This window comes from Homo sapiens, chromosome 9 (assembly GCF_000001405.40).
Source record: "Homo sapiens chromosome 9, GRCh38.p14 Primary Assembly".
NCBI lineage: Eukaryota > Metazoa > Chordata > Mammalia > Primates > Hominidae > Homo > Homo sapiens.
In genome coordinates this window covers 83,968,083-83,987,564 of record NC_000009.12, presented here as the reverse complement: position 1 = coordinate 83,987,564, position 19,482 = coordinate 83,968,083, and the positions used below count along the sequence as shown (strand labels likewise).

Genomic DNA, 19,482 nt, shown 5'->3' with positions numbered 1-19,482 from the left:
TCTGTTTATCAAAACTCAGAACTATACTCCAAAAAATATGAATTTTACTGAAGGTAAATTATACTCCAATTAAAAAACTGAAGGTAAACACCAAAAGAATAGAAATGTAACAACTAACTTTCAAACTAGCTGAGGAAAATATAAAGAAAACAATCTAAAAGAAGGCACAAAAGGAGCAGAAAAGTGATAAAAATAGAAACAATAAGAAGGCAGGCCGGACGCGGTGGCTCACGCCTGTAACCCTAGCACTTTGGGAGGCCGAGGCGGGTGGATCATCTGAGGTCAGGAGTGTGAGTCAACATGGTGAAACCCCATCTCTACTAAACATACAAAAATTAGCTGGGCGTGGTGGCACGTGCTTGTAATTCCAGCTACTCAGGAGGCTGAGGCAGAAAATCGCTTGAATCCAGGAGGCAGAGGTTGCAGTGAGCCAAGGGTTTCCCACTGCACTCCAGCATGGGTGACAGAGTGAGACTCCATCGGAAAGCGAAGGGAAGGGGAGGGGAGGGGAGGGAAGGAACCCAGCCATGGCTCTTAGTTGCACCAATTCAATAAGGTTCCTATTTCCTCCAGTAAAATTTAAATAACACAGTGCTGGCAAATGGACCTAGTATAATTTTCAAAGGTGTTGTAAAAATGTGATGACAGACATTAGATTAAGTAAACTGAAATGAGGACAAAGTGTACTTTCAGTTGACTTTGAAACTTCAAAAGAAATGAATCAGTAAGAAAAGAAGACTGATTGGTTATGAACTGAAAAGGTCAAGGCTGGACAGAAAATAAACAAGAATGAATTTCAGAGATATTAATCCTATATTTCCCAGCAGGTACAGATGTATAAACAGAGAAGTGAAGACTTTGCTGAAAATAAATTAAAACCTATTTTGTAAGACTTAAAATTTTTTTAAAGATATCAATAAAAAATGTACTTCTACATCTACAATGTTATCTAAACCTCAAAACAGTAATTTTTTGATAGAAAGAGTATTCTCATCTATTTTTGACAATGATGAAACTGAGGCATGAAGATTAAGGCATACATATCATACCCAACAGCAGACCCAGAACTAGAACATAAATTCTGCTAATCTCCATTCTTTTACCTTTTTCTGTCAACTTAAGTGGAAAGAGGAAGTAAAACCAGTCCCTCAATTCATCTATAAAACCCACTTATGTATAAAATCCACATATAAACGGCCATTCTATAAGAGTGGTTTGCTGCTACTATAATGAACAGAATTCTCAGATCTCACGTAAATAACAAGCCCATCTAATGCATTCTAAATTGTTTCATTTACAAAATCAAATGAAAGAAAAACTTAAAAATATCACCTACACCTACTATATTTATCTTTGTGATAGCTTCGACATAGTGCTGCGGTTAAGTACTACTTTTCCTTTTGCTATAACCCTACTAACATAGCACATAAAATAATTTTTACATTTTTTGAATATTACAAACTGATATTCTAAGGCTTATGTATCAGTTTATTTTTTAATTTTTTTTTAATTCCAAACTTGCTCTTCCTGGTATATGCTATTGTTTTGGTGGGTTTTTTTTGGAGTCTTGCTCTGTCGCCCAGGCTGGAGTGCGGTGGTGCAATCTCGCCTCACTGCAAACTCAGCCTGCCGGGTTCCTGCCATTCTCCTGCCTCAGCCTCCCAAGTAGCTGGGACTACAGGCTCCTGCCACCATGCCCGGCTAATTTTTTTGTATTTTTAGTAGAGACGGGGTTTCCCCGTGTTAGCCAGGATGGTCTTGATCTCCTGACCTCGTGATCCACCCGCCTCGGCCTCCCAAAGTGCTGGGATTACAGGCGTGAGCCACCGCGCCCGGCCGTATGTGCTACTGAACACCGCAAGTGGCAAAACTCCTTTCAGCCAAGAGTTGGGATGAATTCTGAAAAACACTGCTCAGTGAACCCCAACAACTAAACTGTTCCATTAAATGTGTCAGTCCTAATTAATAACTCTAAGAACCACTCTCAACTTCTGAAGCTGACATACTATGAATTTACAGTAATGTTATCATAACTGGGCAAAGAAAAAAATTCCATTGACTAAACACCCAAAAGATAACCAAGACACCTGTAAAACACAAGCAAATGTGATAAGAGATACTTAACACTGTACAAGCATTCCAATACAACTATTCTCAAATATTTTACCAAAAAGTCAAGAACTTTAGGGGAAATAAAATAACTGCTAACATACATCTGTTACACAGATTTCATCACTTAACAACAAAGTAGAAAGTAGGATTGATCTAGGATACAGATATAATTCCTACAACTGCATGTCTTAATTATAATAAAAAGATGATGTGTAATAGGTTATTTTTCCTACAGATTAGAAAGAGAAGCTTATTAAAATGTTTAATCAAATGGAAAAATATTATGTAAGATCTATATTATAAAGTTTAGACTGGATATTAATAATTGAGACCTTTAATAATTTGGTAAATTATATTAATGGCATCTAGTCCTTCAGATAATTCCTAAGGTTTTCATCCCTTCTTTGCTTAGGAAATTGGGTAACCATAGTCACAAGCAGGTAGAAGCAGCTCAGAGGCAGAGGTTAGCAAGGGCAGCACAAATTCCCATGTGCAAAGAACAGCTCCTGATCCTAAAGAACTCCACTGTCCAAGAAAATAATAATAAATTTGGAAAACTGTCTTTTAAATTATACAGTAAGATATGTTCGGGCTGGGTGCGGTGGCTCACAGCTGTAATTCCAGCACTTTGGGAGGCTGAGGCAGGTGGATCACCTGAGGTCAGGAGTTCAAGACCAGCCTGACCAACATGGAGAAGCCCGTCTCTACTAAAAATACAAAAAAATTAGCTGAGCCTGGTGGCGCATGCCTGTAATCCCAGCTACTAGGGAGGCTGAGACAGAAGAATCGTTTGAACCAAGGAGGCAGAGGTTGCAGTGAGCCGAGATTGTGCCATTGCACTACAGCCTGGGCAACAAGAACGAAACTTTGTCTCAAAAGAAAAGAAAAAAAGATGTTCAAAACTGGTAATCCCAGCACTTTGGTAGGCCAAGGCGGGTGGATCACCTGAGGTCAGGAGATCCAGACCAGCCTGACCAACATGGAGAAACCCCATCTCTACTAAAAATACAAAAAAATTAGCCGAGCTTGGTAGCACATGCCTGTAATCCCAGCTACTCGGGAGGCTGAGGCAGGAGAATCGTTTGAACCCAGGAAGCAGAGGTTGCAGTGAGCCGAGATTGCGCCACTGCACTCCAGCATAGGCAACAAGAACGAAACTCAGTCTCAAAAAAAAAAAAAAGGTATGTTCATACCATATTATCCACTTCTTTTACTTTCCAGAATTAAGGACATAATCATAAATAAGGACAAAGAAAAGCCATATATTTAAGGAGATAATATCCCCGGTACTGTGATTTGATCTTTACAAATTAAGTGAATATATTAAATTATCACATATACCCCAAAACTATGTACATCTTTTATGCATCAATAAGTAACAAAATAAATAAAGACAAAGATTTATGTGGCAGAGAGTTTACCACTGAGTTTTTATATTTTGAAAAAAACAAAATGTTCAAAATGGGAAAAAAAGTTAAATACATAGCACTACCACCATGAAATGAAAAGCTATGAAATCTTTAAAGAAACCATTTTTAAGAATTATTTAATGACAAAGAAATACATTCACATTTTGTTGGGAAAAAGAACACATATAAAATTACATACAGCTTAATCCCCATTAATTTTATAATCAGGAAAAAACATTTTTAAGAAAGCTGATTAGCATTGTATGAATGATAAACTTGGCTGACCACACTAATCTGCATTCTAGATCTGTACTGCCAGGAACTGAACAAAAGAAAATAAAGTGGGAAAATTTTATCACCTACCACGAAGGTCTAGGCATATTTGATTTACAGATTAATTTTCAGTCAGCCTCATATATTCCAATTTTTTTTTAATAAAAAGCGAGGCAGGAGTGTCATCCTTTTGGACCTTACGTGTGTCATTCTGACAATAGCTGAGACTTAAAAGCACTAACGAATATTTAAATCTACTCCACAGTTCCATTATCTTCATCTAAACAATAAAGGTAAGTCTACATTTTAATTCATTGAGGATGAGTTCAAGGTAATCCTGGAATTTTTGAGAAGATACTCCGAAAATTAGGGAGGAAAAATTTATACCGTATATGACTGAAATTAGAAGAAGTAATCAGAGGAGATTTTTATGGATCCTCCATAACCTAAAGTAAGGAAAAGACAGAAAGAGAATCTGGAACCCCATTTTGCTATGTGACCTTGGATATGTTCCTTAGCTTCTCTTAGTGCTAGTTCATTCGTTCACAAAACAAAGATAACTAACAACTTGCTCAAAGAACTCTAAAAAGTATTAAACTGCCAGCACAACGTTTAGCACACAGTGGGGAACTCAGGAAATAGTAGTTATAAATACTATTTTAAACAATAATGCAGCTGGATAGTGTACATTCTCAATTATATTAGCCCATCTAAAGTAAATCCCCCATCTAAGTAATATTGGGTCTAAATTCACTGAGTCCAAAGTGATCACTACACCATTACACCATTGTACCAATTACACAAGACTGGAGTCAATGAATGTATTGTTAAGTTCTTGAATGAACACAGGTATAAAATTATTGGGTTGAAAAGTCTTAATTTCAAACAGAGAATAAAAGGATGGAGAAAAAAGACTTTCCTGTTATTTAAAGAGCAAACCTAAAAATTAAAAAGACGTAAAGAAGAAATCAAATGGGGGGAAAAATAGCAACCATCCCACAATGGCATCTAGAGGGGATGAATAATTTACACCAGTCGGGGTCCAGTCTGGACAATGAAACTGGGAGGAAGAGGTTTTTTTTTTTGTTTTTGTTTTTGTTTTTGAGACAGGGTCTCGCTCTGTCGCCCAGGCTGGAGTGCAGTGGCGCGATCTCGGCTCACTGCAAGATCAGCCTTCCGGGTTCACGCCATTCTCCTGCCTCGGCCTCCTGAGTAGCTGGGACTACAGGCTCCTGCAACCACACCCGGCTAATTTTTTTTTTTGTCTTTTTAGTAGAGACGGGGTTTCACAATGTTAGCCAGGATGGTCTCGATCTCCTGACCTTGTGGTCCGCCCGCCTCGGCCTCCCAAAGTGCTGGGATTACAGGCGTGAGCCACCGTGCCCGGCCGGAAGAGGTTCTTATATAGGGCTGCTTACTTGTGATTCCCACTCATCATTCCTTATCAAGAAAATGATGACTGCAACATAAATCCTAATTTGAAAGAAAGCACAGCATCATCATTACCGTACCGCTATTTGTGCATATTAGTGTCAGTGACATGTCTCAGGTTTTAAATGACAAACTCAATTAAATGTTGCAAATACTAACTGGCGGATTAAATCTCTATAATCCAAGTATCCTAAGCCCCTACATAAACTCATCAGTTTTGAATATTTAATAAAATTCTGAACTTTGTGTTTTAGAACTGAAATGCGAGTTAAGTTTTACCTACCCAACAAGACTATACACTCTTCATGGTGGGGACCATTTAAAAAATTATATTATCACTTAAAGAGAACTTTTATAAATTCCACAATCCCGGACATTATGTTCTAACAGCATGTGTTAACGTATCCTCCCAGAATGTAAATACTGGTGTTTGTCATGAAATCCTCAGTGCGCCCTAACAAGAGTTTTCCTCTAATCAGTCAAGTAAAAGATGCTGGGTGGATGCAATCATGGCCATTTAAAAGAATGCTGGTATATATGTTTTGCAAATTACCCAAGAAGGAAACATTATAACAGGAATGAATCAGCACAAATTCATCAACACTAAAATATATGCATGTATTCGGCCAATGGTGGATTTCGCTTTATGTGCAGATTATGACACCTTTATGCTTCAAAATGAGTTTGGGATTGTGGGCGGAGGCTGGAAGGTTGACGAGTAAGGATGTGGAAAGCGGGTACTACCAGGGCTGGAGATTTCCCAGGGCTGTCACCGATTGAAAGTGACCTTATGTGCCTTAACAAAGGAAGTCATGAAAGCTTGGCACAGGAGCCTTAAAAGTAAGGAACCGAATACAATGCAAGTGTGCGCTGAACCCGCTAGAACAGGAGCACGTTTGAGGGCAAGGGTTTTTGTCTGTTTTCATCACTGCCACAAGGCAGGCGCTTTGAATGGAACGTGGAGGTCTGCAACGTATTCAGCGATACGCATTCATTTTAGGAGACAAGGGCAATACATATTGCCTAAAAATTTTATCGGAATAAACTACAGCGACGACACTACAAAATACTTCCATCTCAGGTCCCATTACCCAAGAGGAAAGTCTCAGAACCGAGAGCCCTGTGAAACCGCCTGTGCCCTCTCGGCGAGAAGTTCTCCAGTACTCCCAGGCTCGCCCCGCGTTTCCCCGGCTCCCGCCCCGGCGCAAGGCAGGCCGAGAACCGCCAGCTGCGCCCCCGGGCCCGGCCTTGACTGACGGGCGCCCCGGACCATTACAAACAACGGGTTTCCGAAGCGTGGGCCCGGCCCAGCGGACGCAGACGGCCCGCACTTACCGCGCCGCAGCTCGTCCCACAGCCCACAGACCACAGCCCGGGGCGGGGTAAGGGGCTTCGGGCACGAGTGTGGGCTGTGAAAACACGGGCATAAGTCTGGGCCGAGCACCGACCTGGGCGTCCCGCATTTTCCTCGCGCAACATCGGTCCCTGGGCAGCGCAACTGTAAGGACAGGAACCGCCGCGGCGCGCTCCCAGTTCCTTTTTTACCTCTTCCCGCCCGATTTGCCGCGCGCTCGCGCCCCTCCTCCAACCCCAAAGGACTCCTTCGGGGCTGGAAAACGCCCCTTCCCCGCCCCCTCCCTGTGCGCGTGAACTAGGCAGTTGTTAGATCTCGCGAGAGGTTCGCCCCCTAGCCGCCCCTCCCCCCAGCTAGTGAGTGCGCGAACGAGAAAGGAGGAGGGCGCTCCAGGCGACAGCACTGCAGACGCCATTATCCTCTGTTTCTCTGCTGCACCGACCTCGACGTCTTGCCTGTGTCCCACTTGTTCGCGGCCTATAGGTAATTGGAGTTATTGGAGCTTGGGTATTGCTGATTCGGGTAAGGGTTGGGGCTCCCTGAAAGGCTGCGTTTACTTTTCCCAAGCCCGGGTTTTCTCGAGCCCTTAGTGGCCTCCCAGCCCGAAGGGAGGCGCTGGCGGGAGGCGGGGTTGTCGCCTCCTCCGTCGCCTTGATTGACGTGGCCTCGGGCCAATCGCTTCGCCCTCGCACCATCGCTGAAGCCCTGGCAGCCAATAGGGCGCGACGGCGGGGAGGACGCGAGAAGGCGGGGGAGGGGAGCCTGCGCTCGTTTTCTGTCTAGCTCCGACCGGCTGAGGCGGCGCGGCAGCGGAGGGACGGCAGTCTCGCGCGGTGAGGAGCCGGGTTGGGGGAGCGGCTCGTGGAGGTGAGGGTCGGAGCCCAGTTTTTCCGCTTGAGGGAGGCGTCCTGGGAGCCGCTTTGGTGTTTGGCCGCTTCTCCGAGTGGGAACGTTGCCCGGTGTCCCCTCCCCCACCTCCGCCATTTCCCTGAGCGTGTATCCGCAGTCCGCGTTGTGGTCCTAGAGACTTGGGGATTCGTGAGGCATGTGCCTCTAGGATGAGCTGGAGCTATGTGGCACTGGGAACTAGGGACCTCGTGGAGGAAAGGAGGCCGGTGCGGGGAGAAGGTCGCGCCGCCGCTCTCTTTGTGTGAGCCCCGCCTCACCTTGGGTCTCCCGGCCCGGGGTCGGAGCTGGAGCGGCGGGGATGGAACGGTCAGGGCTGCCTCGATGGCTTTGTCTCGGGCAGTGGGGGGAGGATGCGGGGGATGAGACCTCGGGACCGCGTGGTGGGTGGGGGAGGGGGTCGGCGCTCGGCTCCGCCTAGTAGCACGTAGTCGCCATTACGCGGGCCGCCATTTCCTGTCGGATCCGGGTGAGGAGAGGTGCGGTGCTTCTGCTGTCGACTTTCGCTTTTTCCCGTCCTGTTACCCGGCTGTTTTTGATCTCGGTGCCGGGAGGCGGGGAGGGGAGGGCGCGTTGGCGCTCGGCCAGTGGAGCACATACTTAGCGGATTTTTGAGGCCTGGGGACTAGTGACTGCAGGACCCGAAGGGTGAACGGCAAGCGGCAACGTTATTCTTACAGATAAGCCCTGCTGTTTTTGCTTAAACTTTCTTATCCAACTCTTCTCCCACCACACCTCAGAAATTGCGTGCTGGGCCGGAAGGATGTCGTTTCAGTTGTCGTTAGGAGAGCAATAAGTCGACCAACGGTATGGGAGAATGGGAGGCATAAATGTGCCTCGCTTGTTGGCTCTTTGCTGTCTAGCCAACCTTCTAGTAGAGGCCGCTTGTCAACTCCTAGTCCCGACAAGAGGGAAGCTTAAAAAGGCTGTTTGTAGTCCTATCGACCGTTTTGGCACGTAGACACTTTAGTTTTCGTGTTACAGGCATGATTGTTGTGTTGTACTCCCTTAAGCCTAATTTAAAATAATCCGCTAGTGACTGTTAGTTTTCAAGGGCTCCATTTGTTTCGCTGATTAATAATAGACTGGTATTGTGGTAGTTTGGGTCTGGTCCTATATTAGATTTTTGGATTTATCCCTCCGGTAGATTGTTCTGGTTGTTGGATGTGTTCGCAATTGCCGTTGTATTTGTAAACTTTAGAGATGTCACATAAGATCGCTTCAAGCATGAGTCGAAAGAAATAGGAAAGCAATTGGAAGTTTTAATATAAAATTAGTTTTCCCAGTGAATAAGATGCATTGTAACTTTTCATAAATGTATGCTTTGTGGATGACATTTATCTTTTCAGGGTTTTGGGAATGTGCCGTATAAAACAATTCATTGCTGTGGTGGGACTTAATCCAGTGGCTAAAAGTTATTGTTCTAACTTAGCAAAAAATGAAACCAGGCTCCCTTGAATTTTGTATTTTTTAGGCAGTCATTTGAATTGTGAAACCCTAAAATGAAGAATCAAGTTTTAGAAACAGCTGGTTTTTTGGGTTCAAATCAGTATTCACTGTGATCGGAAACAAATATTCAGTAATAAGAATAAACAAAAGCAAAACTGATTTGTGTTGGTTCTTATAGGCTACTGCAGCACTGGGGTGTCAGTTGTTGGTCCGACCCAGAACGCTTCAGTTCTGCTCTGCAAGGATATATAATAACTGGTACGTTCTAGAAGCAATGTCTTTTTTTTTTTTTTTTTTTTACAGCTTGCTTTCCAATAAGCCAAATGTACTAGCTGCTTTATTTTTCCACAGATTGGTGTGCCCGTTTAATAAAAGAATATGGAAACTGAACAGCCAGAAGAAACCTTCCCTAACACTGAAACCAATGGTGAATTTGGTGAGAAGAAATTTTAGTTTTAACAGTATTTTTTTATCCTGTTAATAAATTGCCTTTTTCTGTTAATTATTGCCTTAGGAGTGTGTGGTGAATTTTTGGTATTACTGTTTATGTAATTCTGCGATTATCAGTAGTTACATCTTAGCTTTTATTTATGAAGTAGAAGTAACTGATTTGCATATAAAGAATTTTTCTTGCATTTTGGGATTTCAAATCCTTTGAAGTATTTTGTGGCAGTATTTTGTGTTTGGTGCATTTTACTAGATGGAAGCATAACGTTCAAGTCTGTAGCAATGCCTTTGGTCTTTTCAAAACATGCCTAAGATTAGCAACAAGTCTCTTGAAACAGAATGGAGTTACTTTGGAGACTTCGCTGCTTTCTTTGAAATGTGAACTGTTAATTTTTAGGTAAACGCCCTGCAGAAGATATGGAAGAGGAACAAGCATTTAAAAGATCTAGAAACACTGATGAGATGGTTGAATTACGCATTCTGCTTCAGAGCAAGGTATAAATTTTATTCTTGAAAATTTGAAGGTGGTTCATACTCAGGTAGAAATTAAGGTCTGGTTTGGCTTTCTAGAAAGTCAAAGTTTTACAGATTGAAGAATATAAAACATTTGGTTCTTTCTAAACAGACTTGAAGGCTCTGGTGGTTTTCTTATTCCACTAACAGTTAAGATTAAAGCCCTTGCTGTAGTGAACCGCCACTACAGGTCAAACTAGGAGGAGAGTGTGATTCTTAAAGTGTTAATAGATTAAATCTTAATTATGTGTGGACTCCTTAGGAAACTGCTTGGTTGGCAGTTTATTGTTTGATCACAGGTCACAATATGAAGGTACCTACTAATACTAAATTAATTGACTTATTTTACCAAAGGGTGCTATAAAATCTGTGCTTAGTTTTATTTTATACTTGGTGTTATTTCTGACATTGAGTACTCCAAACTATCTAGTCCTCACAGCACTTAGAATTATATTTTGATTTTTGGTTTGGTTTTGGCCTGGTCGTTTTTACAACCCCAAATAGATTTTTATTCTTATAACAAACAGGTTAGAGGATTTTTTAGCAAAATCTAAGAGCGTAGGTAGCTATTAATTTTAGGGAAAGGCAAAATAATTTTTTGTCTTTGTATCTTCTCCAGAATGCTGGGGCAGTGATTGGAAAAGGAGGCAAGAATATTAAGGCTCTCCGTACAGACGTAAGTATTAAGAGTTTAAACTACTACACGAGCAGCTTCAGTTTATATGTCTATAGAAATTTAAAGATTTACATCCTAGAAATCATTTCATAGTTTAGCTACAAAGACATTTGTAATAATTTATTATTACAGAATTGATTTCGAAGTTATCCATTCCTGTTTTAACAAAAGCCCAGATTGAGCAGGGTGGGGGGGTGGTTTCTTTCAAACCTCTTCACATTTTAATAAGAGTCCACCAAATTATTCACTTCATCAAGCAAGATAACATCTTAATTAGAAATAGCGACAAAGTGTAAAAATCCTTGATTGCACCATTTCCTGTGTGTGAATCAATTACAGTATTACTGAAAACCATTGCAGGTGGCTGGTTAAATCCAGAAAAATTTTTTTGTTTTCTTTGGGAAGAAAAATGTCCATCTGTTCTTTAACAGCTTGCACATGGAGCACAAAGAATTTAATGTTGAGGTTGCATGATTTAAATATGGGTAAAGAATAGAGTAGGCACTTAATCTTATAATTGGGAAACTGTTCGTCAATGCCTATGATTTGTTTGAGTCTTCATTTTACAGTGGGTTGACTCTTGTGATTAGACACATTAAATGTTGGCAGTGCCAGAAGTGAGCACATTTATAGGACTTGGCTACACCAAAATTTCTAAATTTTTTTTCTCATAGTGTACACATTTCTTAATGTTTTTCTTGCTAAAAATGAGGCAAATAACTTTGTGTCGAGTACTTATTTGACAGTATTTCATTTCTCTCTTGGTCGCAGATCTTTGTATGTTCCTCTTGATTACTGTAAACTGAACTTGAAAATTTGTTTAAAATTTTACAAACTTGCCTGTTAGGATCTAGGAATGCATTTCAAAACCTCCAGAAAACCAAACCAGTCTTATTAGTTAGGGTTTTTGGTGGTGTGGGAATTTTTGTTTTGTCTTTTATAAACCTCTCTCCTCTTAATCCAGATGTTCTGTATAATTATCTGGGTTATTAATTTCCCCATTTCCTCAAGAATTTCAGTAAACTTTGAGTCAGGTTTTGTGTCTACCCTCATGAGCCAGCCTGCTACTGAAACATCGTTTGTTTTTCTTAAAAAATAAAAAAGGCTAGAACCATCATTTGAGGTCCTTAATGTTAAGCCACAGTCAGATTTAGAGAAGTCCATTATTGTGTTAGTCTTCAGAACAACTTAAGCTTGTTTCATTGAGAGTATGAGTATAGTTTGTATTAAATTAAAATTTATTGCTTTTCCCCCTTTTCCCTCTCCTTGTTTTTTTGGCCATATATCTCCGTTGCCCATGTACTGGATCGACTTACCCCTGCGTTGCCCACCATGACGTTGGCCCATCCGCCCCTGAACGCCCATGTGAAAACCCTGGTTGGCTATGCCCAAAAATGTGCTCGTTGCCAAACGGGTACCATACTTGACAACTTCTGATTGAATGCCCATGCCCAATGCCAACATCCACGAACGCCAATGACCAATGCAGTACAATGCCAGTGTTTCAGTCCCAGACAGCAGTGGCCCCGAGCGGTATGTCCCAACAGTTTATGCCTCACTGCCTGATTAGAAAGAGAGAAATGTATTTTATTACCTGCCTTTTATATAATTAAATAGTATCCCCTTTAGACGGTGTATTGTTTTTCAAGTTTCTGTCTTATTTTCCCCATTAAGTCTTTTTGTCACTGAACTTTTACCGTGAGTTGCCCACCCAAACGATCCACTAATTTTATTTCGATGGAAGGAGCACAGCTTCAAGTGTTGCATATTTGCCGCATTGTAAATCAAATTGTTACCAAAATAGTCTCTCGCTCTGTCTTTGTGGCCCACCTTGCTTCCCAACATTGCCTGTTCATAATTTTTTCTGATGAAATGCTAACTCTGGTTCACTTTCCTTCACTTCTCATTTGTGTTGTCTTTGTTTTGTCTTGCATTTGTATTTGTTTTCTTGCAGAGCCCATTAGTGATCTAATTTCTAACTGGTATTCATAACCTTACTCCAGATACAATGTTCACCACTTGCATATTCCCCCACTTTGCCTAAGAGAAGGTGTGCCAGTTTTACCAATGTAACAGCAAGGGTATCCTTAACTCAGTGGTGGCGGGGAACATAAATATTCAACTCTGCTTCAGTTCTGGTCAGTTTATTGCCCACTTAATCTGAGCCCTTCCAAAAGCCCATTCTCTCTGTCTCTCTGCAAGTCTCCTAATATTGTTATCATGTCTGTATTGGGTATAAAACAAAATGCATGTGAGAAATCTATAAATAGGCTACTTTAAATGGGGAATATTAAATAATCATGTGTTACATCTCTGTGAAAGTTTGTATGATTTGGTGACAAACACAAAACTCATTTTTCTTTTCCACCTTTTTTGTACTATCTGGTATTTGTGGTGTTTGACAGCATATTGAGTATCAGTGCTGATATTGAAACAATTGGAGAAATTCTGAAGAAAATCATCCCTACCTTGGAAGAGGTAGGCTCATTTTTTTTTAAATGTATTTGACAATATGAGGGGGGAATGTTTAAAGTATGTTGTATTGGGGTATGATGGGGGAGGTGGAGAGACAATGGATATGACAGTTTGTAGCAGTATCTTAACCTGCTACATAATTTTGTACATGCGTAATTTGTTTTTTTTTTTTTAAAAAAAAAAACAGGCTGGCCACTCCTGGAGTAAATGTGAACTTAACCTGTGGTCATGTGCTTTCATGGGTTTAGTATGTATTTTATGGGCTTTAGTTATCAGAAAGATTTTTAAAATTAGAATATTTGTGGGAACATGTTGAAAAGGAGAATTAGTTAGATTTAGTTAGGATTTTAAGACTCTACATAATTCACTAGGTGTATATAGAGAAAAATATTTTATGTTTTGAATCGTCTTAATGTTGAATAAAGCAGTTTCTCATTATTTAATAATATAGATTTAAAATATGTTGTAGTAGCTTTACCAATATATGCGACAATAGCCTGATCACGCTAGACACTTAACCTATTACTCTTATTTTTCTACTTTCAGGGCCTGCAGTTGCCATCACCCACTGCAACCAGCCAGCTCCCGCTCGAATCTGATGCTGTGGAATGCTTAAATGTATGTCATAGTGCCATTGAACCCCACTGAAGTATGGAGCCTGGCCCATAGGATCGATTATATTTTTAACATAGTGTGCTTTTCCCATCTCTATAGAAAAAGGCTTAAAAACATGATACATGAATGGTCTTACAACTCACTGTTGACCCTGCTCCATGCTGCAGTGGGAATTAACTACATTTGCAAAGTGCTTTGCAGTCATTTTTATTATGGTGTTATTTGAATGTTAATAATAATTTTGTGGTAACAGCGACATGCTAAATGGCTGCAGTGTGGGTATGGTGTTGCAGGACCTGAAAATAAAATAGTTTTTTAAGGTGGTGCAGAATGTCCTTTTTGGGCCTGGCTATTGAGGATAATAAGCACATAACTGGTAAAGTTATTGAAATATAAATTCAGGTTGCTCACTGCAACAGTATATTATTGTTATGCTTATAGCAGATAAGTGTGTATTGGGGAATTGTTGATTTGAGACTAAAATTTTATAATTCTCCCTCCACAGTACCAACACTATAAAGGAAGTGACTTTGACTGCGAGTTGAGGCTGTTGATTCATCAGAGTCTAGCAGGAGGAATTATTGGGGTCAAAGGTGCTAAAATCAAAGAACTTCGAGAGGTAAAAAAAAAAAAATTCTGCCGTATTCTTTGCTGGAAAGTAAATTTTCATATAGACTTGTTTCTGTGAGCTTCTCTCGCTTCCCCTCTCAGTTCCCTCCAAAGATTGCTTATCGCAAATGACAAAAAATGTCTGGCACTGCTAGACATGTTATTTTGTCAAAATTTTTATACCATTGCAAAGCCCTGTGATAATTAATGAAGTTTTTATATTGTGGGGGGTTAATTGTTGAATTCAAATGCAATTTTCACTGAACCTAGGAAAGCTAATTTTCTTCTAATTATTATTATTTTTTTTTATGATCTTACTACAGAACACTCAAACCACCATCAAGCTTTTCCAGGAATGCTGTCCTCATTCCACTGACAGAGTTGTTCTTATTGGAGGAAAACCCGATAGGGTTGTAGAGTGCATAAAGATCATCCTTGATCTTATATCTGAGGTACTTCAGAACACTTTTTGTTTACATTTGATTTTATGAAACAAAGTGATAACCTTCTGCAAAAGTAGCTTCAGAGCATTTAGTCTAATAGTCTTTATTTGCCCTTTCCCTAGCAATTTTCTATCACCTGGCTTCAGCCATCACTTTAATTTAAAAATGGTTTTGAAAAAGTGGAGAGTGGTAATTTGTTGGTGGTATTTCTATAGCCTTTGAGCCTTTGAATGAATTTCCTATAGTGTTGCTTGTGTCTTTGTAACTATGCTGCAGGGCTTCCTATCTCAGGTGCCTCAGTATGGATTACAGGCTTGCCAAGACTGATCTCTTCAGCCCTTGTTGTGAAATGTGCATTGTAGTTTGTCATGTGTAAAATGGGAGGGCTTTGTGGTTTCTTACGATCTAAGTGTAAGAGCAAGCTATTACTTCTCCCTGTATAGGCAATAGAACTCACTTTTGTTTAGCATTTGCCAAAAGTATTGGATTTCTTTGGAATCTTTACTTTGCTACTTTTAGCGTTGACATAATTCCTGTTTCTGTCTCTAGTACCTCCTGATGGGGGAATGACTTACATTTTGTTTGATGATGATGTTAGAAGGATTGGTATGAAGCAGGACTCTTTTTCTTCAGTCTGTAAGTTTGTTCCATCTCTGTTTTTAGTCTCCCATCAAAGGACGTGCACAGCCTTATGATCCCAATTTTTACGATGAAACCTATGATTATGGTGGTTTTACAATGATGTTTGATGACCGTCGCGGACGCCCAGTGGGATTTCCCATGCGGGGAAGAGGTGGTTTTGACAGAATGCCTCCTGGTCGGGGTGGGCGTCCCATGCCTCCATCTAGAAGAGATTATGATGATATGAGCCCTCGTCGAGGACCACCTCCCCCTCCTCCCGGACGAGGCGGCCGGGGTGGTAGCAGAGCTCGGAATCTTCCTCTTCCTCCACCACCACCACCTAGAGGGGGGTAAGTTGTTTTTTTTGTTGTTGTTGTTTTTTCTTCCCCCATCTATGAATTATTAACCTGCAAGAGGCTGCACTTAGTGGTAGACAAGGTAGACTTTGATTTGATATGTGTGGCATGTAAGCACGTTTAGATTACAACAAGTACTATGCTTGCAGAGACCTCATGGCCTATGACAGAAGAGGGAGACCTGGAGACCGTTACGACGGCATGGTAAGAACTTTGGTTTATTACCAGTGTGTTGGGTATGTGAGGGTTGTCACAATGTAGTTCACGTTTTGTTGAAGGTTATAGTGATTAAAAAGTTTTTCTTACAAGTAAATTTTGTTTGGATTACTAGTTAAATAATTCTGTTATTTGCTGCTGGAGGATTACGACTTTATTGAGCTTTGTTCCCCTCGATTACAAAATTGCTGCCTATATATGTACCCTCTTTTGTTTTAATGTAACATGCAAATTAGGCATATTAAAAACAGCTCTATAACAAAATACAATGCGGGTTCATGTTAATGTTTTTATCTCTAACAGGTTGGTTTCAGTGCTGATGAAACTTGGGACTCTGCAATAGATACATGGAGCCCATCAGAATGGCAGATGGCTTATGAACCACAGGTTGAGTATCATAGTTGTTCGTGTGTATATCAGTGATAATTTAAGATGCTTACCTGCTCTCCAGTAAGTTTTTTATTCCCCTGAGGATACTTACTGAAAATAGGATACAGGAGGACTTTGGTTTCCTGAAGAGGGATTTTATGAGATTAAAATACTTGAATAGTGAAGCTGGGTGCAGTGGTGCTCACTCATAATCCCAACTACAAAAGAGTCTGAGGCAGGAGGATCACTTGAGCCCGAGAGTTTGAGACCAGCCTGGGCAACATAGCAAGACTCCATTTTATTAAATGAATTTTTTTAAAGTACCGGTAGTAATTACAACGGCAAAGTAATTTTCTATTTTTTTCTTTCTGTTTTTAGGGTGGCTCCGGATATGGTAAGTTCTCTCCTTTGTGAAGTCAAACATTAATTTCATACTTTTTAAATGAACTTACTGCTCATTATTTAAATCAGATTATTCCTATGCAGGGGGTCGTGGCTCATATGGTGATCTTGGTGGACCTATTATTACTACACAAGTAACTATTCCCAAAGATGTAAGTATCTTTAATACTACCAGGAACATTTTATCACTTTTATGATTATTCCTCCTTTCTGTATATTTTTTAATTCAGAAGGTTTTAACAAAAATACACATTTAGGATTGAGGTTATGTTAATGGGCTTTAGTGAGCTGGGTTTTCAGCTGTTTGAGTCTTGTCAAGTGATCAGTGCTATTAATAAAAGTAGTTAAGTAGGTTTTGAGCCCTTAACTAACTAAGGGAAACATTAGTAAGTGTGACATAAATACATTATAACTCAAACCTTGACAGGTTTAGGGAGCGTTAGATCATCAGTTAAGATTCTGAATGAATAAAATTAATAACTTCATGCTCCTTGAAAATACAGGTAGTAAATGTTAAAAGTATATCGTAAACACATACTTTTAAAAAATCTTTTCAGTTGGCTGGATCTATTATTGGCAAAGGTGGTCAGCGGATTAAACAAATCCGTCATGAGTCGGGAGCTTCGATCAAAATTGATGAGCCTTTAGAAGGATCCGAAGATCGGATCATTACCATTACAGGAACACAGGACCAGATACAGAATGCACAGTATTTGCTGCAGAACAGGTCAGTTTAAGTTTAGCTTTGTGTTAGCTTATACATACTAAAACCTTTAAAAAGCTTTTCTTCTCAATTGATTTTTTTCTTTTAGAAGCCATGGTGTCTCAACCTTTTGGGGACCTAACTTCTAAACATTCTAATAGTTTGCCTTAATTTTTCTTCTGCTTTCTTACTAAAAATGAAGACATTCAATACTAATCTTGCTGGAAGAAGCCTTAACCAAGCAAACTTCTCATTTCTCTGGTGAAAACTGCTGCCAAAACCACTTGTTAAAAATTGTACAGAGCCTGTAGAAAATATAGAAGATTCATTGGATGTTGGCCTAGTTCTGTGTGGAAGACTAGTGATTTTGTTGTTTTTAGATAACTAAATCGACAACAAATCACAGTCTGCCATATGGCACAGGCCATGCCTCTACAGGACAAATGATTGGTGCTGTAAAATGCAGCATTTCACACCTTACTAGCATTCTTTGTCTTTTCTACCAAATATTAACAACTTTCAATTCCGTTTTCTTAATTCTGTTCTACTAATGTCCGATTTACTACTCATCATTTTTCTTGACACTTAACATTGCTTTAATTTGTAATTGCTAATGGTTTTTGAACTCTTCTAATTGTAATGGACGTGTTTATCATTTTAATTTAGCATTGAAATTGTCTTGATGTTGATTAAGATGTTACGAGCAAAAATTCTAATTCGCACTTTTTTTTCTTTTCTTTTATAGTGTGAAGCAGTATGCAGATGTTGAAGGATTCTAATGCAAGATATTTTTTCTTTTTTATAGTGTGAAGCAGTATTCTGGAAAGTTTTTCTAAGACTAGTGAAGAACTGAAGGAGTCCTGCATCTTTTTTTTTTTATCTGCTTCTGTTTAAAAAGCCAACATTCCTCTGCTTCATAGGTGTTCTGCATTTGAGGTGTAGTGAAATCTTTGCTGTTCACCAGATGTAATGTTTTAGTTCCTTACAAACAGGGTTGGGGGGGGGAAGGGCGTGCAAAAACTAACATTGAAATTTTGAAACAGCAGCAGAGTGAGTGGATTTTATTTTTCGTTATTGTTGGTGGTTTAAAAAATTCCCCCCATGTAATTATTGTGAACACCTTGCTTTGTGGTCACTGTAACATTTGGGGGGTGGGACAGGGAGGAAAAGTAACAATAGTCCACATGTCCCTGGCATCTGTTCAGAGCAGTGTGCAGAATGTAATGCTCTTTTGTAAGAAACGTTTTATGATTTTTAAAATAAATTTAGTGAACCTATTTTTGGTGGTCATTTTTTTTTTAAGACAGTCATTTTAAAATGGTGGCTGAATTTCCCAACCCACCCCCAAACTAAACACTAAGTTTAATTTTCAGCTCCTCTGTTGGACATATAAGTGCATCTCTTGTTGGACATAGGCAAAATAACTTGGCAAACTTAGTTCTGGTGATTTCTTGATGGTTTGGAAGTCTATTGCTGGGAAGAAATTCCATCATACATATTCATGCTTATAATAAGCTGGGGATTTTTTGTTTGTTTTTGCAAATGCTTGCCCCTACTTTTCAACAATTTTCTATGTTAGTTGTGAAGAACTAAGGTGGGGAGCAGTACTACAAGTTGAGTAATGGTATGAGTATATACCAGAATTCTGATTGGCAGCAAGTTTTATTAATCAGAATAACACTTGGTTATGGAAGTGACTAATGCTGAAAAAATTGATTATTTTTATTAGATAATTTCTCACCTATAGACTTAAACTGTCAATTTGCTCTAGTGTCTTATTAGTTAAACTTTGTAAAATATATATATACTTGTTTTTCCATTGTATGCAAATTGAAAGAAAAAGATGTACCATTTCTCTGTTGTATGTTGGATTATGTAGGAAATGTTTGTGTACAATTCAAAAAAAAAAAAGATGAAAAAAGTTCCTGTGGATGTTTTGTGTAGTATCTTGGCATTTGTATTGATAGTTAAAATTCACTTCCAAATAAATAAAACACCCATGATGCTAGATTTGATGTGTGCCCGATTTGAACAAGGGTTGATTGACACCTGTAAAATTTGTTGAAACGTTCCTCTTAAAAGGAAATATAGTAATCTTATGTA

The 19,482-nt window shown here is 39.8% G+C and overlaps 2 protein-coding genes, 1 long non-coding RNA gene and 1 other non-coding gene across 16 annotated transcripts in view, besides 10 other annotated features; 2 read left to right on the top strand and 2 right to left on the bottom strand.

Annotated features, from left to right (window-relative positions):
- The window catches only part of RMI1 (RecQ mediated genome instability 1), a 23,716-nt gene extending 16,510 nt beyond the window's left edge, over positions 1 to 7,206 (bottom strand). For 2 of the 5 annotated variants that reach the window (NM_001358292.2, NM_024945.3), the window contains exon 1: positions 6,561 to 6,760. The gene's annotated coding sequence lies outside the window, so the exon portion shown is untranslated. Of the gene's footprint in view, positions 1 to 6,560; positions 6,761 to 7,021 lie in introns of those variants that run through there. The other 3 variants (NM_001358293.2, NM_001358291.2, NM_001358294.2) reach the window with 2 other exon arrangements.
- Positions 6,071 to 6,579: an enhancer, noted in NCBI's record as "NANOG-H3K27ac-H3K4me1 hESC enhancer chr9:86595901-86596409 (GRCh37/hg19 assembly coordinates)". NCBI's record gives its function as "activates a minimal SCP1, AML or CMV promoter by ChIP-STARR-seq in primed H9 embryonic stem cells {active_cell/tissue: H9 hESC(primed)}" and the evidence as "EXISTENCE:reporter gene assay evidence [ECO:0000049][PMID:30033119]".
- Positions 6,347 to 6,426: a silencer, noted in NCBI's record as "silent region_19982". NCBI's record gives its function as "represses an Ori minimal core promoter by ATAC-STARR-seq in GM12878 lymphoblastoid cells {active_cell/tissue: GM12878}" and the evidence as "EXISTENCE:reporter gene assay evidence [ECO:0000049][PMID:35858748]".
- Positions 6,580 to 7,087: an enhancer, noted in NCBI's record as "NANOG-H3K27ac-H3K4me1 hESC enhancer chr9:86595393-86595900 (GRCh37/hg19 assembly coordinates)". NCBI's record gives its function as "activates a minimal SCP1, AML or CMV promoter by ChIP-STARR-seq in primed H9 embryonic stem cells {active_cell/tissue: H9 hESC(primed)}" and the evidence as "EXISTENCE:reporter gene assay evidence [ECO:0000049][PMID:30033119]".
- Positions 6,580 to 7,096: a biological region, named in NCBI's record as "NANOG-H3K27ac-H3K4me1 hESC enhancer GRCh37_chr9:86595393-86595900".
- Positions 6,637 to 6,726: an enhancer, noted in NCBI's record as "active region_28501". NCBI's record gives its function as "activates an Ori minimal core promoter by ATAC-STARR-seq in GM12878 lymphoblastoid cells {active_cell/tissue: GM12878}" and the evidence as "EXISTENCE:reporter gene assay evidence [ECO:0000049][PMID:35858748]".
- Positions 6,747 to 6,816: an enhancer, noted in NCBI's record as "active region_28500". NCBI's record gives its function as "activates an Ori minimal core promoter by ATAC-STARR-seq in GM12878 lymphoblastoid cells {active_cell/tissue: GM12878}" and the evidence as "EXISTENCE:reporter gene assay evidence [ECO:0000049][PMID:35858748]".
- Positions 6,947 to 7,006: an enhancer, noted in NCBI's record as "active region_28499". NCBI's record gives its function as "activates an Ori minimal core promoter by ATAC-STARR-seq in GM12878 lymphoblastoid cells {active_cell/tissue: GM12878}" and the evidence as "EXISTENCE:reporter gene assay evidence [ECO:0000049][PMID:35858748]".
- HNRNPK (heterogeneous nuclear ribonucleoprotein K) lies at positions 6,950 to 19,482 on the top strand. Of its 9 annotated transcripts, none has more exons than NM_031262.4 (17): positions 6,950 to 7,062; positions 9,113 to 9,192; positions 9,286 to 9,370; positions 9,779 to 9,876; positions 10,514 to 10,570; positions 12,060 to 12,103; positions 12,976 to 13,048; positions 13,592 to 13,663; positions 14,166 to 14,279; positions 14,593 to 14,721; positions 15,376 to 15,683; positions 15,839 to 15,893; positions 16,209 to 16,292; positions 16,653 to 16,668; positions 16,746 to 16,828; positions 17,234 to 17,403; positions 18,185 to 19,482. In NM_031262.4, the coding sequence occupies exons 3-17, from the start codon at positions 9,313 to 9,315 to the stop codon at positions 18,213 to 18,215; spliced, it is 1,392 nt and encodes a 463-aa protein (NP_112552.1). In that variant the 5' UTR covers positions 6,950 to 7,062; positions 9,113 to 9,192; positions 9,286 to 9,312; the 3' UTR covers positions 18,216 to 19,482. The 9 variants fall into 9 exon arrangements, with proteins under 9 accessions (NP_112552.1, NP_002131.2, XP_005252020.1 ...); NM_002140.5 differs by having other exon boundaries at positions 18,125 to 19,482; NM_001318188.2 differs by lacking the exon at positions 6,950 to 7,062 and adding an exon at positions 7,350 to 7,412.
- Positions 7,047 to 7,096: an enhancer, noted in NCBI's record as "active region_28498". NCBI's record gives its function as "activates an Ori minimal core promoter by ATAC-STARR-seq in GM12878 lymphoblastoid cells {active_cell/tissue: GM12878}" and the evidence as "EXISTENCE:reporter gene assay evidence [ECO:0000049][PMID:35858748]".
- Positions 7,237 to 7,376: a silencer, noted in NCBI's record as "silent region_19981". NCBI's record gives its function as "represses an Ori minimal core promoter by ATAC-STARR-seq in GM12878 lymphoblastoid cells {active_cell/tissue: GM12878}" and the evidence as "EXISTENCE:reporter gene assay evidence [ECO:0000049][PMID:35858748]".
- Positions 7,917 to 8,076: an enhancer, noted in NCBI's record as "active region_28497". NCBI's record gives its function as "activates an Ori minimal core promoter by ATAC-STARR-seq in GM12878 lymphoblastoid cells {active_cell/tissue: GM12878}" and the evidence as "EXISTENCE:reporter gene assay evidence [ECO:0000049][PMID:35858748]".
- Positions 11,785 to 15,470, bottom strand: HNRNPK-AS1 (HNRNPK antisense RNA 1). Its single transcript, NR_186535.1, has 2 exons — positions 15,288 to 15,470; positions 11,785 to 12,132 (listed from the first exon to the last, which is right to left on the bottom strand). It is a non-coding gene; the product is annotated as an HNRNPK antisense RNA 1 (long non-coding RNA).
- Positions 17,708 to 17,817, top strand: MIR7-1 (microRNA 7-1). Its single transcript, NR_029605.1, has one exon. It is a non-coding gene; the product is annotated as a microRNA 7-1 (primary transcript).